Raw genomic sequence first — 12,612 nt, forward strand, 5'->3', positions numbered from 1 at the left:
ATATTAGCCTCATAAAATGAGTTGAGAAGTATGCCCTCTTTCTCCATTATCTGTAAATGTTTGTGTCATATTGGTGTTATTTCTTCCTACATGTTTAGTTGAATTTTCTGGTGCAGCCATCTGTACCTGGAATTTTTTGTATGGCAATATTTTAAATGATGAATTCAATTTCCTCCATAGATATAAAATTTTTCAGATTTTCTTTTCAGTATTGGTCAGTTTGCTTTCTCTCTTATTTCATCAATTTCACCAGGGGTCCACCAGTTTCATTAGTCTTTGCAAAGAAACAATATTTGACCTTGTTGATCTTCCCTATTGTATGTCCATTTTCCATATTATTGATTTTTGCTCTTCATTACTTCCTTTATTATACTTTCTTGGGTTTGCTTTACTGATTTAAAAAACTTATTGACTTGGAAGCTTAGATCATTGATTTTTAGGATTTGTTATTATTTACATTAAATGCATATTAAGACATTTGTTCTAAATTCAGCTTTAGCTATGTATCTGAAGTTTTGATATATCATATCTTTATTACTATTGGAGTAAGAATATTTTCTAATACGCAGTGTGATTTATTCTTTGATATATGGGTTCTGAACCAAAATATGGGAGATTTTCTAATTATCTTTTGGTTACTGATTTCTATGTTAATTATACTATGGTCAGAGAGCACATTATGTATTATTTGGAACTGTGAACATTTGTTAAGATAGGCTTTATGGCCTAGCACATGACCAGCTTTGGTAAATAGTCTGTGTGTACTTGAAAGACTATGTATTTTTTGTTGTTGTTGGATGCATTGCTTTATATATATGTTGATTAAGTTAAGCTAGTAAATCATGTGGTTAGATCTTCTCTATCCCTACTGATAGTTTTTGTCTTTTTATTTTATGAATTACTCAGAGAAATATGTTAAACATCTGCTATGCATTTCTGTTGGTGTGGAATTGCAAGAGCATGGGATATTCCCATGTTGCTTCATTGGATACTGTTTTACAAAGTGGTTTTTTTTAGTTTGCACACCCATCAACATTTTATCAGGGTTCCATTACTCCAAATTTTCTCTGACACTTAGTATTATCTGTCTTTCTCATTTTGTCCATTTTGGTGTGAATTCAGTGGTGTTGCAGTATAAACTTAAATTTCTCTGATGACTAATAAAGTTAAACACTTTTTCATATACTTTTTTCACTATTGGATATCCTATTTTGTGAGGTGCCTATTTTAACCTTTTGTCCTTTTTTCTGTCGATTCATAGGAATTCTTTATCTATTCTGGATATAATTCCTTTATTGAATACATGTATTGCAAATATCATTTCTTACTTGATGGCTTGCCTTTTCATTCTCTTAATGATATCCATTGGGGAACAGAAATTCTTAATTTTAATATAGTCCAATTTATCAATATATCCTATATAGTTGATCCTTTGTGTGTTGTGGTTAAGAAGTTTCAGCTACCCCAATGTCGTAAATATATTCTCGTATGTTTTCTTCCATAAGTTTTATTGTTTCTTCCTTAAGTTTATGAGGTCTATAATTAGAAATTAGATCTTTTTTGTTTATACGAAGTAGAAATCAAGATTTATATACTTCTATATGTATATTCAGTTGACACAGCACCATTTATTGAAGATAACTTCCTTTAGTTGGCTGCAGTATCCCTTAGTCATAAATTAGGTGGCCGTATGTGTGTTGTCTGTTTTTTCACTCAGCATAATTCTCTTGAGATGTATCCAGGTTGTGTGTATTAATAGTTCACTTGGCGGGGTACCATGGCTCATGCCTGTAACCCCAGCCCTTTGGGAGGCCAAGACGAGCTGATCCCTTGAGCCCAGGAGTTCAAGACCAGCCTGGCTAACATGGCGAAACTCTGTCTCTACTAAAAATACAAGAATTAGCCAGGCGTCATGGCATGTGCCTGTAGTCCCAGCTACTTGGGAGGCTGAGGCAAAAGAATCATTTGAATCCAGGAGTCAGAGGTTGCAGTGAATGGAGATCACACCACCACCACTGCACTCCAGCCTGGGGACAGAACAAGACTCTGTCTCAAAAAAAATTTTTTTTCACTTGTTACTGCTGAGTATTATTTTATGGTATGGATACACCACAGTTTGTTTAACCACTTACCCTTTGAAGGACATTTGAATTATTTCCAGTTTTTGGCTACTAGAAATAAAGCTGCTATGAACAGTTGAGTACAAGTTTTTGTGTGAAGGTAAGTTTTCATTTCTCTGGAATAAAATGCTCAACAGTGCAATTGCTGGATTGGATATATGATAAGTTCATATTTAGTTTTGTGAGAACCTGTCATACTATTCTCCAGGGTGACTCTACTATATTTCCACCAGCAATGTGTAAATGATCCAGTTTCTGGACATCCTTGACAGAATTTGGTGTATCATTACTTTTTTATTTTAGCCATTCTGATAGGTGTGTAGTAATATCCCACTGTGACTTTAATTTGCATTTCCCTAATGGCTAAAGATGTTAAACAGTTTTTCATGTGTTTATTTCCCATCTGTATACTCTCTTTTTCTCTAGTGTCTTTTGTTCACTTTCTAATTGGATTGTTAATTATTTCTCTTGAGTTTTGAGAGCTCTTTTTATGTTCTGAATACAAGTCCTGGTCATTGCTTTTTAAGACAGAAAATACCTTTATTAAGATTTTTTTCTCCTCATCATTACTTCCCATTTTTCATTGCTTCTTTCTAAATTCATTTCTTTTTGCTGAAATACAAACTCTAAGAATTTTGAAGTAGTTTGGCTGGATATAATAGTTTACTTACAAGTTTCTTTAAGATTTTGATGCTCTTTTTTATAATCTTGTATATATAGTGTTTCTGTTGAGAAGTGTAATGTCAGTTTAAATCTTGTTGTTTTATAGATGTATCTTTTACAATTTTCTCTTTCTTATGACATTCTTACATTTTATTCTACTGGATCTAGGGGTGGGTTTAGTAATGCAGCAGATACTTTGAGGTCATATCTTTCTTTCATTTTTTCATGTTACTTTTAAATTTCTTTCCTTATATTCATTATTTAAAAAAAAAATCCTTCAAGGCATTGAAGATGCCATTAGACAGATGTTAACAGGATAGATGTTCATCCTCCATGTCTTATTTATTTTATTCTTTTCATGTCTTTATTCTGTTGCATTCTGGGAAGCTTCCTCTATCTGATTTTTCAGGTCACGAATTTCATCTTTGATTCTCTCTGTTCTACTCTTCTGTTTACCTATTTAATTATTTGTTTCAACAATGATATACTTTTTTGTTATTTTTGTTGTTTGTTTGTTTGAGACAGAGTCTTGCTCTGTTGCCTGGGCTGGAGTGCAGTGGCACGATCTCAGCTCACTGCAGCCTCTGCCTCCTGGGTTCAAACGATTCTCCTGCCTCAGCCTCCCGAGTAGTTGGGACTACAGGTGTGCACCACCACGCCGGGCCAATTTTTTGTATTTTTAGTAGAGATGGGGTTCCACCATGTTGGCCAGGCTGGTCTCAAACTCCTGACCCCAGGTGATCTGCCTGCCTTGGCCTCCCAAGGTGCTGGGATTACAGGCATAAGCCATCGCACCCGGCCATCAATGATGATGTACTTTATACATTGAATCCACTTGGTTCTTTTTTCACAGCAGTTGTTCTTGCCTTATGTTTCTAATATCCTCTTTTATTTTTCTGAGAGAACACTTTCACTTAAATTCTTGTTTGTGCTTTTCCATTTTCTTGCTTCTTGTGGTAAAGGATGCTTCATTTGTGGTTTTTCTTTCAAGATGTTTTTGCTTTTAATTTTCTTTTCCCATGAGCTTTCCTTCTTGGAACAATTAGCTGACTTGGCCTTAGTGTCCACCTGAGAGGAGGGAGAAAAGCCTAGGGTTAGCTCCTATGCCTTTAGGTGAGTTTAGTGTGTGGGTGTGGGCACATGTGGGTGCACATGTGTATGCGAATGCCCATCTGAATGCAGGGAACTTCTGGTGCCATAGTTTGGGCTCTTCTCTTCCTAAGAAAAATACAAGTTTTAGATAAGAATTTCCTTGACTTTCTTCACCCAAACCCCCAAATTTACCCTCATGCATATTGATCCTTTCCCACTATCTCTCATTTAAATGGAGGAGAGGGGATGTTTCTCTTTGTGTCTTTAAGCCTAATCCCTCCAAGTGTCCAAGTGGTCCCATTATACCGTGCCCTTTTTTTTTGAGACAGGATCTCACTCTGTCACCCAGGCTGGAGTGCAATGGTGCGATCATTCTTCACTGTAACCTGGACCTCCTGGGCTCTAGTGATCCTCCTACCTCAGCCTCCTGAGTAGCTGTGAATACAGGCATGTGCCACCATACCTGGCTAATTTTTGTATTTTTTGTAGAGGTGGGGTTACTCCATGTTGCCCAGGCTGGTCTCGAACTCCTGGGCTCAAGGGATCCACCTGCCTTGGCCTCCCAAAGTGCTGGGATTACAAACATAAGCCACTGTGACTGGGCCTCCGTGTTTTCTTTCAGCTTCCTCCCTATAGGTCTTCTTCTTGGTACAGCCAGATTTATTGACGGTATTGTCTGTTTTCATTGTTCCTAAGTATTTTCTTTCTACTTATACAGTGGGCAGACTCTAGCACTCTACTAAGAATGTCATGGACAACCTTATTGCTCAATCCAGGGGTCACTTTCAGTTACTTTCAGTTACTTTTCTTTTCTTTCTTTCTTTTTTTTTTGAGAGTCAGGTTCTTGCTATATTTCTCAGGCTGGACTCAAACTTCTGAGCTCAAGTTATCATCCTGCTTCAGCCTTCTGAGTAACAGAGACTATAGGTGCACGCCAATAAGCCTGGCTAGTCCTTTTCTTCTTTACTTTCTGTATCTATGTGTTACTGTTGAGTACTCCTTTCTTTCTAAACACTCACCTTTGCAGCCTTTATTCCCTCTGCTCTTCTCTTAAATGTTGGTGTTTCTTATTATTCTGTGCAAGGCAACATGATCCATGGCTGAATCTACTATTTACTGTGGATGTATAATGATGACTCTAAAAGCTCTATCCCCATTTTAGATCTCTTTCCCAAGTTTCCAACCTGTATCTAGGAACTCTTGCTCATTCTGTGTTTGAGATTCCATTCTCTTTCCCCTGAGTATCCTTCCCTAACTGCCCTCCTTCCCCACATCTGTGTTGGATGCCCTTCCTATTTGTCCCTAAAGCACCACCCTGTATTTGCCCACTAAGATTTCTTGTTTCCCCCACTAGAACGTAAATCTTATGAAAGCAGGGATTGTGTTTTCCTGGTGCCTGAAAGTGTCTATAGTGAATATTTAATAAATATTTATTTGCATGAGTGATATTCAAAACTCTCTTCTTCCTTTCCTAGTGTCAAATATTGGTGCAGATGGAATGCTTGATTTTCCAAAAACATCTCTTCTGGAACTTATGATAGGAAGAAAAGATGTTATTTCTGTGGATGCTGCTGTGAAATTTATAAAATTAGCTTTTACCTATGAGGAGTGGAGTTTATTTGAATCTTCTGCTGTACATCTTATTTATTTTCTCCAGGTAATATATGCAAAATTATCCTCCTGGTTTTTTTTTTGTTAAAATGACATCCAATTACTAATTAACGTGTGGGATATACTTCCCCAAGAGGCAGGATGATCCAGAGTCAAAGAAAGCAGAGAAGGATTTAACTCTTCTGATTGCAATGGAACCACTAATCAACGTGAAGAGAAACAAAGGTTTGATCTTTCCTTTGGAAAACTATAAAGAAGGACAGTCAACTCAAATTTATTTAAAAAAAATTGCTGTTCATGGTAAGTATTTATTTGTTTGTTCAAAAAATTTAGTTTGACGAAATATGCTCTTTTATAGATATGGTGAGAGAAAGGATGTTGAAGGCGGAGGGAGCAAGAGGTACAAAGGCCCTGAGACAAGAGTGTGTTTGGTGATTGCAGGAATGGCATGGGGGTATGTGTGACCAAGTGTGGTAGGTGACAAGGTTAGAGAAGTAGCTAGGCGCTAGATGATGTAGTTCCTGGGCTTTGTAAGGATGCTAGATTATATTCTGAGTGACAGTTTTGAGTAGGGGAATGAGGTTCTATTTACTTTCCGGCTTAGTTGGATAAGAGGGAGGCCCGCAAGGCAGTGAATCAGAGGACAAAGTCATCAGTTCATGTTAGGAAGGGAAGGTTTGGTAATCTCCTGTCTCTTTCCAGCTTGCAGTGTTTGCCATTCTAGGACTTTTCAAATCCTAAAAGTTATTGTGTGTATAATTGAAAACCTGCCGTGTCTGCTTTTTACACCAAAGAGAACTATTTAATTCCAGGTTTTTAATGTTTTGCCATGTTCTTAAGATATTGCATGGCTTATCAGTTGCAGTAAGTAATTTGTACCAAGTAATGATATATGTCTTCTAGTGATTTCTGAATCAATATTTTTATTATTTTTCTTTCAACTACCATATTTTATGTGCACTTTAATATTATAAGCCTCTTCAGTTTCTTTTTGGACATAGCATACAAATGTTGGAATGTTGGATTTATGATAATGGTCTATTTTAATTGGATTAGAGCCACTAAGATTAGTTTTCTTTTCTGTGTGTGTGTGTGTGTGTGTGTGTGTGTGTGTGTGTGTGTGTGTTTATTTATTTATTTATTTATTTTGAGTCACAGTCTCACTCTGTTGCCCAGGCTGAAGTGCAGTGGCATGATCTTGGCTCAGTGTAACTTCTGCCTCCTGGGTTCTCCTGCCTCAGCCTCCCGAGTAGCTAGGATTACAGTGACTTGCCACCATGCCCAGCTAATTTTTATGTTTTTAGTAGAGACAGGGTTTCACCATGTTAGCCAGGCTGGTCTCAAACTCCTGACCTCAAGTGATCCGTCTGCCTCAGCCTCCCAAAGTGCTGGGATGACAGGCATAAGCCATTGCCCCCAGCCAAGATTAGTTTTCATATAGAAGTATTTAACTTGTCTTATTGACATGATATTTGCCCGCCTATCATTTGTGTCATTTTTTTAGCATATTTGTGTTTCTGTGCCTTTTCTATTTGAAATTTTGTAAGTGATTTTTTTGTTTCATTTTCCTCTACTTTATGAACTTAGATACTTGTTTGAAGACTTGTGGATATTCAGAGGATATTTTCCATTTGGCAGCAACCTTGTATGTCTGTGTCTGCACTGCTCCCCAGGTGAAATAGCTATTTTAAATAATTTTTATTAGTGTGGAAGGAGGTTTTTGTGCCTAACTTAAGGCCGAATTTAAAATATCACAGGAATTACGCCTTGCTAAAATTTTATTTTGTTTAATCATTAGCATATAGGATTAAGTTAGATTCTGACTTGTAGTTTTAAGTTTCTTTTTATTATTGTTGTCATTTTGAGTGTCTTCCTTTTTGGGAAATTCTCAGGCTATGTTTCTAATAATGAAGGAAATGAGGCAGTGGTTTTTAGGAAGAGTTAATATGTTTAATGAAATACTGCTTTCAATCCATGAGTACAAAGCCTTGTTATTATTGGAAGTCACTTTGCACACAATGGCCAGTATTTTAAAATGACCTATAAGAGGGTACCAGTGTTCAGGTAAAACTATTATAATATAGCAATGGTTATTAAACAAATTTCAGGGATCCTCAGAAACCTAACTTTGTTTTGTTTTTTAAATTAATTTATTTGTTTTTAATTTTTATTTTAAGTTCTGGAGTACATGTGCAGGACATGCAGGTTTGTTACATAAGTAAACATGTGCCGTGGTGGTTTGCTGCACCTCCTACTTATAAGTGAGAATGTGGTGTTTGGTTTTCTGTTCCTGTGTTAGTTTGCTGAGGATAATGGAGAAGCCCAGCTTTAAGTAGTAGCTTCCTAATCTGTTTTTGTTACTTTTGTATATAACACTGGGATTCTGATGAAATTTCATTTGAAAATTTGGTTATATTGTCATTTTTAAAAAGTATGTAAACCACGGTTATAGAGCACTGTATTAACTTTTGCCCAGGTAAGTGAAGCACACTTGAGAAGTTCTGCTTTATAATATTTTTCATTTCTTCTGGGTTTGTCAGAATAAGTTATAACCTGTGACAGGTATTTAATTTTTGAAAGAAAGGTGTTTGGCAGTAAATAAATTATTACAGTGGGAGAGCTAACCAAAAAATAGCGATCAAGGCTTAAAAAGGTAGGGAACTTTCCTTTATCTGTTTTTCTTTGTCTTTTTCTTTTTCTTTTTTTTTTTTTTTTTTGAGACAGAGTCTCACTCTGTCACCCATGCTGGAGTGCAGTGGTGCGATCTCAGCTCACTCCAACCTCTGCCTCCCAGTTTCAAGTGATTCTCTTGCCTCAGCCTTCCGAGTAGCTGGGATTACAGGCATGTGCCACCATGTTTGGCTAGTTTTTGTATTTTTAGTAGAGACGGGTTTCCCCATGTTGTACAGGCTGGTCTCGAAATCCTGACCTCAGATGATCCGCCCACCTCAGCCTCCCAACGTGCTGGGATTACAGGTGTGTGAGCCACTGTGCCTGGCCCTCATTAATCTGTTTTGCTAAAATGATATATGTCTTAGTTCAATTCAATTCAATTCAATACAATTCAATTCAATTCAATTCAATTCAATAAACACTTATTGATATCTGTCGTATTCCCAAACATTGCAGGAAGGTGCTACATATGCAAATTAGGTCTTAGAGCAGCCTCAGAGAGCTCCAGGTTTGGTATATTTTAATCATAAACTCATTATTTTTCTAATTTAGCTATAATGAATAATAATTTTCTTTTGCAAAGGCAAGTAACTTGGATGAGAGAAAACATACTCATTATGGCTCATCAGTTGACACCCAGTGTGAGGTTCTGTTCAGCTTTTGCCTTTCCTTCTTGTCTCTACACTTTCCCAACTCCCCATTGCTTCTCTAGTTACTAGTTCATCTCCCCCTGCTCCAATTCCTTATTATTATTATTTTTGAGACAGAGTCTTGCTCTGTCGCCAAGCTGGAGTACAGTGGTGCAATTTTGGCTCACCACAACCTCTGCCTCCCGGGTTCAAGCGATTCTTGTGGCTTAGCCTCCCAAGTAGCTGGGACTACAGGCACACGACACCATGCCCAGCTACTTTTTATATTTTTAGTAGAGATAGGGTTTCGCCATGTTTGCCAGGCTGGTCTTGAACTCCTGACCTCAGGTGATCCACCCGCCTTGGCCTCCCAAAGTGCTGGGATTATAGGTCTGAGCCGCTGCGCCTGTCCAATTCCTTATTATTTTAATGCAAGAATTTTAAAAAGAGAAAAGTATATGTAAATTTCACAGTCAGGTGGAAGTAATTGGTTTGCAAACTTGCCTAAAAATGTTTGGGAATTTTCTTTTTAGAGAGGCGGAAGAGCATAGAGCATTCATTAAGAGTGATGGATCTAGGTGGGTCACGGTGGCTCACACTGTAATCCCAGTACTTTGGGATGGCACGGCAGGTGGATCACTTGAGGCCAGGGGTTCGAGACCAGCCTGGCCAACATGGTGAAACTCCATATCTACTAAAAATACAAAAATGAGCTGGGTGTGGTGGTGTGCACCTGTATTCCTAGCTACTTGGGAAGCTGAGGCACGAGAATCGCTTGAACCTGCTGGGATGTGGAGGTGAGATTGCGAGCCGAGATCTTGCCATTGCACTCCAGCCTGAGTGACAGAGTGAGGCCCTGTTTCAAAAAAAAAAGGAGTGAGGACTCTGGAGCTAGACTACTTAGGTTTGAATCCCTCCCATCTGCCACTCTTTAGTCATTTCATGTTGGGAAAAATCACTTAATCTCCTTGTGTTTCAGTTTGCTCCTCTGTAAAATGGGGAGGATCATACTAGGACTCCTCTCATAGGGTCATTATGAAGATTCAACATGTTAGTATTTGTAAAGCTCTTAGAGTGTTTCTCAGCACACAGTAAATGTTATATACATGTATTTTATTATTCCTACTCATTTACCTTCTCACTTTTGTTTTTAGGATGTTCAACCTGATAAAGAAATTGTTGTGGACACGATAATGTTCCTATGGCAGAAATGCAAATTAGGAATTCAGCGGCTCAATATATCCAGAAATGACTATGCAAAATTCACCCAGAAAATCAGTACTAACAAAGTATTCCTTTCGCATTCCCTTTCACGTGTTTTTTTTGCTATTGCTTATTCAAGTTGCCACACACATTTCAAATCTAAATTTTTCCTATTTTTCACCTGGTTAATGACTTTCATTTGCATATATACATATATAAAGAAGATATTCTTTCTAGCGCTGAGTGACCCTTTCTTTTAATGTGTGTTCCCTGCACTCCTGTTCTAATTTTGTTTGTTGTGAGGAGCGAAGAGGTGTTTCAGGCCTTTTTTTTTTTGGCAGAGTCTTGCTCTGTCCTGGAGGCTGCAGTAGTATGGTACCATGATCTTGGCTCACTGCAACCTCTGCCTCCTGGGCTCAAGTGATCCTCCACAGCTCAGCCTCCCTAGTAGCTGGGACTACAGGCATACACCACCATGCCCAGCAATTTTGTTTTATTTTTTGTAGAGATGGGGTTTTACCACATTGCCCAGGCTGGTCACAAACTCCCAGGTTCAAGCAATCTGCTCATCTCAGCCTCCCAAAGTGTTTGGATTATTATAGGCATGAGCCACCACGCCCGGCCTTTTCAGGTTTTTTTTTTTTTGTTTTTGTTTTTGAGATGGAGTCTTGCTCTGTCACTCAGTCTGGAGTGCATTGGCTAACTGCAACCTCTGCCTGCCGGGTTCAAGCGATTCTCCTGCCTCAGCTTCTGGAGTAGCTGCGATTACGGGCATCCACCACCACGGCCGGCTAATTTTTGTATTTTTAGTAGAGATGGGGTTTCACCATCTTGGCCAGGCTGGTCTTGAACTCCTGACCTCGTGATCTACCTGCTTTGGTCTCTCAAAGTGCTGGGATTACAAATGTGAGCCCCTGCGCCCGGCTTCAAGCTTTTAAGTGAAGAATAAATATAGTATGGGCCAGGCACAGGGGCTGACACCTGTAATCCCAGACCTTTGGGAGGCTGAGGCAGGTGGATCACCCGAGGTCAGGAGTTTGAGACCAGCCTGGTCAACATGGTGAAAACCCCGTCTCTACTAAAAATACAAAAATTAGCTGGACATGGTGGTGTGTGCCTGCAGTCCCAGCTACTCAGTAGGCTGAGGCAGGAGGATTGCTTGAACCCAGGAGGTGGAGGTTGCAGTGAGCCGAGATCACACCACTGCACTCTAGCCTGGACAACAGAGTGAAACTCTGTCTCAAAAAAAATAAATAAAAATAAAAAATAAATATAATGTATCTGAGGTCATATGAGCTTGGATCAATTCAAAAAGAAGATTAATAATAGAGAATACAGAGACGTAAGAGTGTCAGATTTTCTCCCCCTGCAATAATATATTTAGACCATTTAAAAGAGCTACTTTATAGGAGGGAGAAGGGTGAGCATTTGAATATTATAACCTGGAAACTTAGGAGAAAAAATTTAATAATAACAAATATTATAGCTTTGGTAATTTGGAAGCTGCATAAGATTAGCTACATTAGTATGCATAGGTGTGATTTTTATCATGTACTCTGTTAAGTAATAATGTGAGTACATAAATACCGTTTTATAATCTCAGGTCCCAAAATGTGATAGTTGGTTTTATGTGCTAAGCTTTGGGGATACAGGCATGAAAGACAATTTCTTTCTTTCTCTTTTTTTTTGAGACAGAGACTCGCTCTTTTGCCCAGGCTGGAGTGCAGAGGCACGATCCTGGCCCACTGCAATCCCCACCTCCCGGGTTCAAGCGATTCTCCTGCCTCAGGCTTCAGAGTAGCTGGGATTACAGGTGTGCGCCAATACGCTGGCTATTTTTTGTATTTTTAATAGAGACAGGGTTTCACCATATAGGCCAGGCTAGTCTCGAACTCCTGACCTCGTGATCCACCCGCCTCAGCCTCTCAAAGTGCTGGGATTACAGGCGTGAACCACCGTGCCCGGCCATGAAAGACAATCTAAGTCACCTGATATGGAGCCTGAAACACCTGCTTCCCCACTCATAAGGAGGATGTTGATAGTAATCATAATAGCTGCTTCAAAGGGACAGTGAGAACTTTGAGGATACAGATACTATTCACTGATATGTACAAATAACAGATCATAAATTTGCCATAATGGCTATAGATGTGCAGACTCTAGACTTAAATGAATCTACTTTATGAATTTATATAAACAGATTGATTACTAAATATCATTTTAAAAGGATTATTGAGTTTTATGTTATTTATAATTAAGGCGTTAATAAGGAGGGGTACCTGTGTAACATTTCCATATGATTAGAAGATGGTTGTTTCAAGGAAGTATAAGTTTTGAAAAATGTGACTGTTTCTACAGTTTCATATACTTTTAATTAATTTTGCTGTGTATTTTCTCTTTTTAGTGGATTTATCTTCTGTGGCAGATAAATGAAGTAATTCACTGCTATAAAATGGAAGACATTGACATTGTGGTAGTGGCAGAAGTCACATTACGGTTAAGTGAAATATTGGAATCTTTAGGAAGCCCAGGAAGAAAATTTAAACAATCTCTAGGTAAAATGTTGGCTGAAAAATTGTATACATATATAAATACAAATATATAGGTATGATATCAAATGC

At 38.2% G+C, this 12,612-nt stretch overlaps 1 protein-coding gene across 2 annotated transcripts in view; it reads left to right on the top strand.

The window, feature by feature from the left end:
- The window catches only part of CFAP54 (cilia and flagella associated protein 54), a 385,979-nt gene that overhangs the window by 38,865 nt on the left and 334,502 nt on the right, over window positions 1-12,612 (top strand). For both annotated transcript variants that reach the window (NM_001367885.1, NM_001306084.2), the window contains exons 10-14: window positions 5,351-5,532; window positions 5,621-5,786; window positions 7,074-7,159; window positions 9,943-10,077; window positions 12,396-12,546. In NM_001367885.1, coding sequence (NP_001354814.1) covers window positions 5,351-5,532; window positions 5,621-5,786; window positions 7,074-7,159; window positions 9,943-10,077; window positions 12,396-12,546 — 720 coding nt within the window. The remainder of the gene's footprint in view (window positions 1-5,350; window positions 5,533-5,620; window positions 5,787-7,073; window positions 7,160-9,942; window positions 10,078-12,395; window positions 12,547-12,612) is intronic.

Source organism: Homo sapiens, chromosome 12, assembly GCF_000001405.40.
Source record: "Homo sapiens chromosome 12, GRCh38.p14 Primary Assembly".
Lineage (NCBI taxonomy): Eukaryota > Metazoa > Chordata > Mammalia > Primates > Hominidae > Homo > Homo sapiens.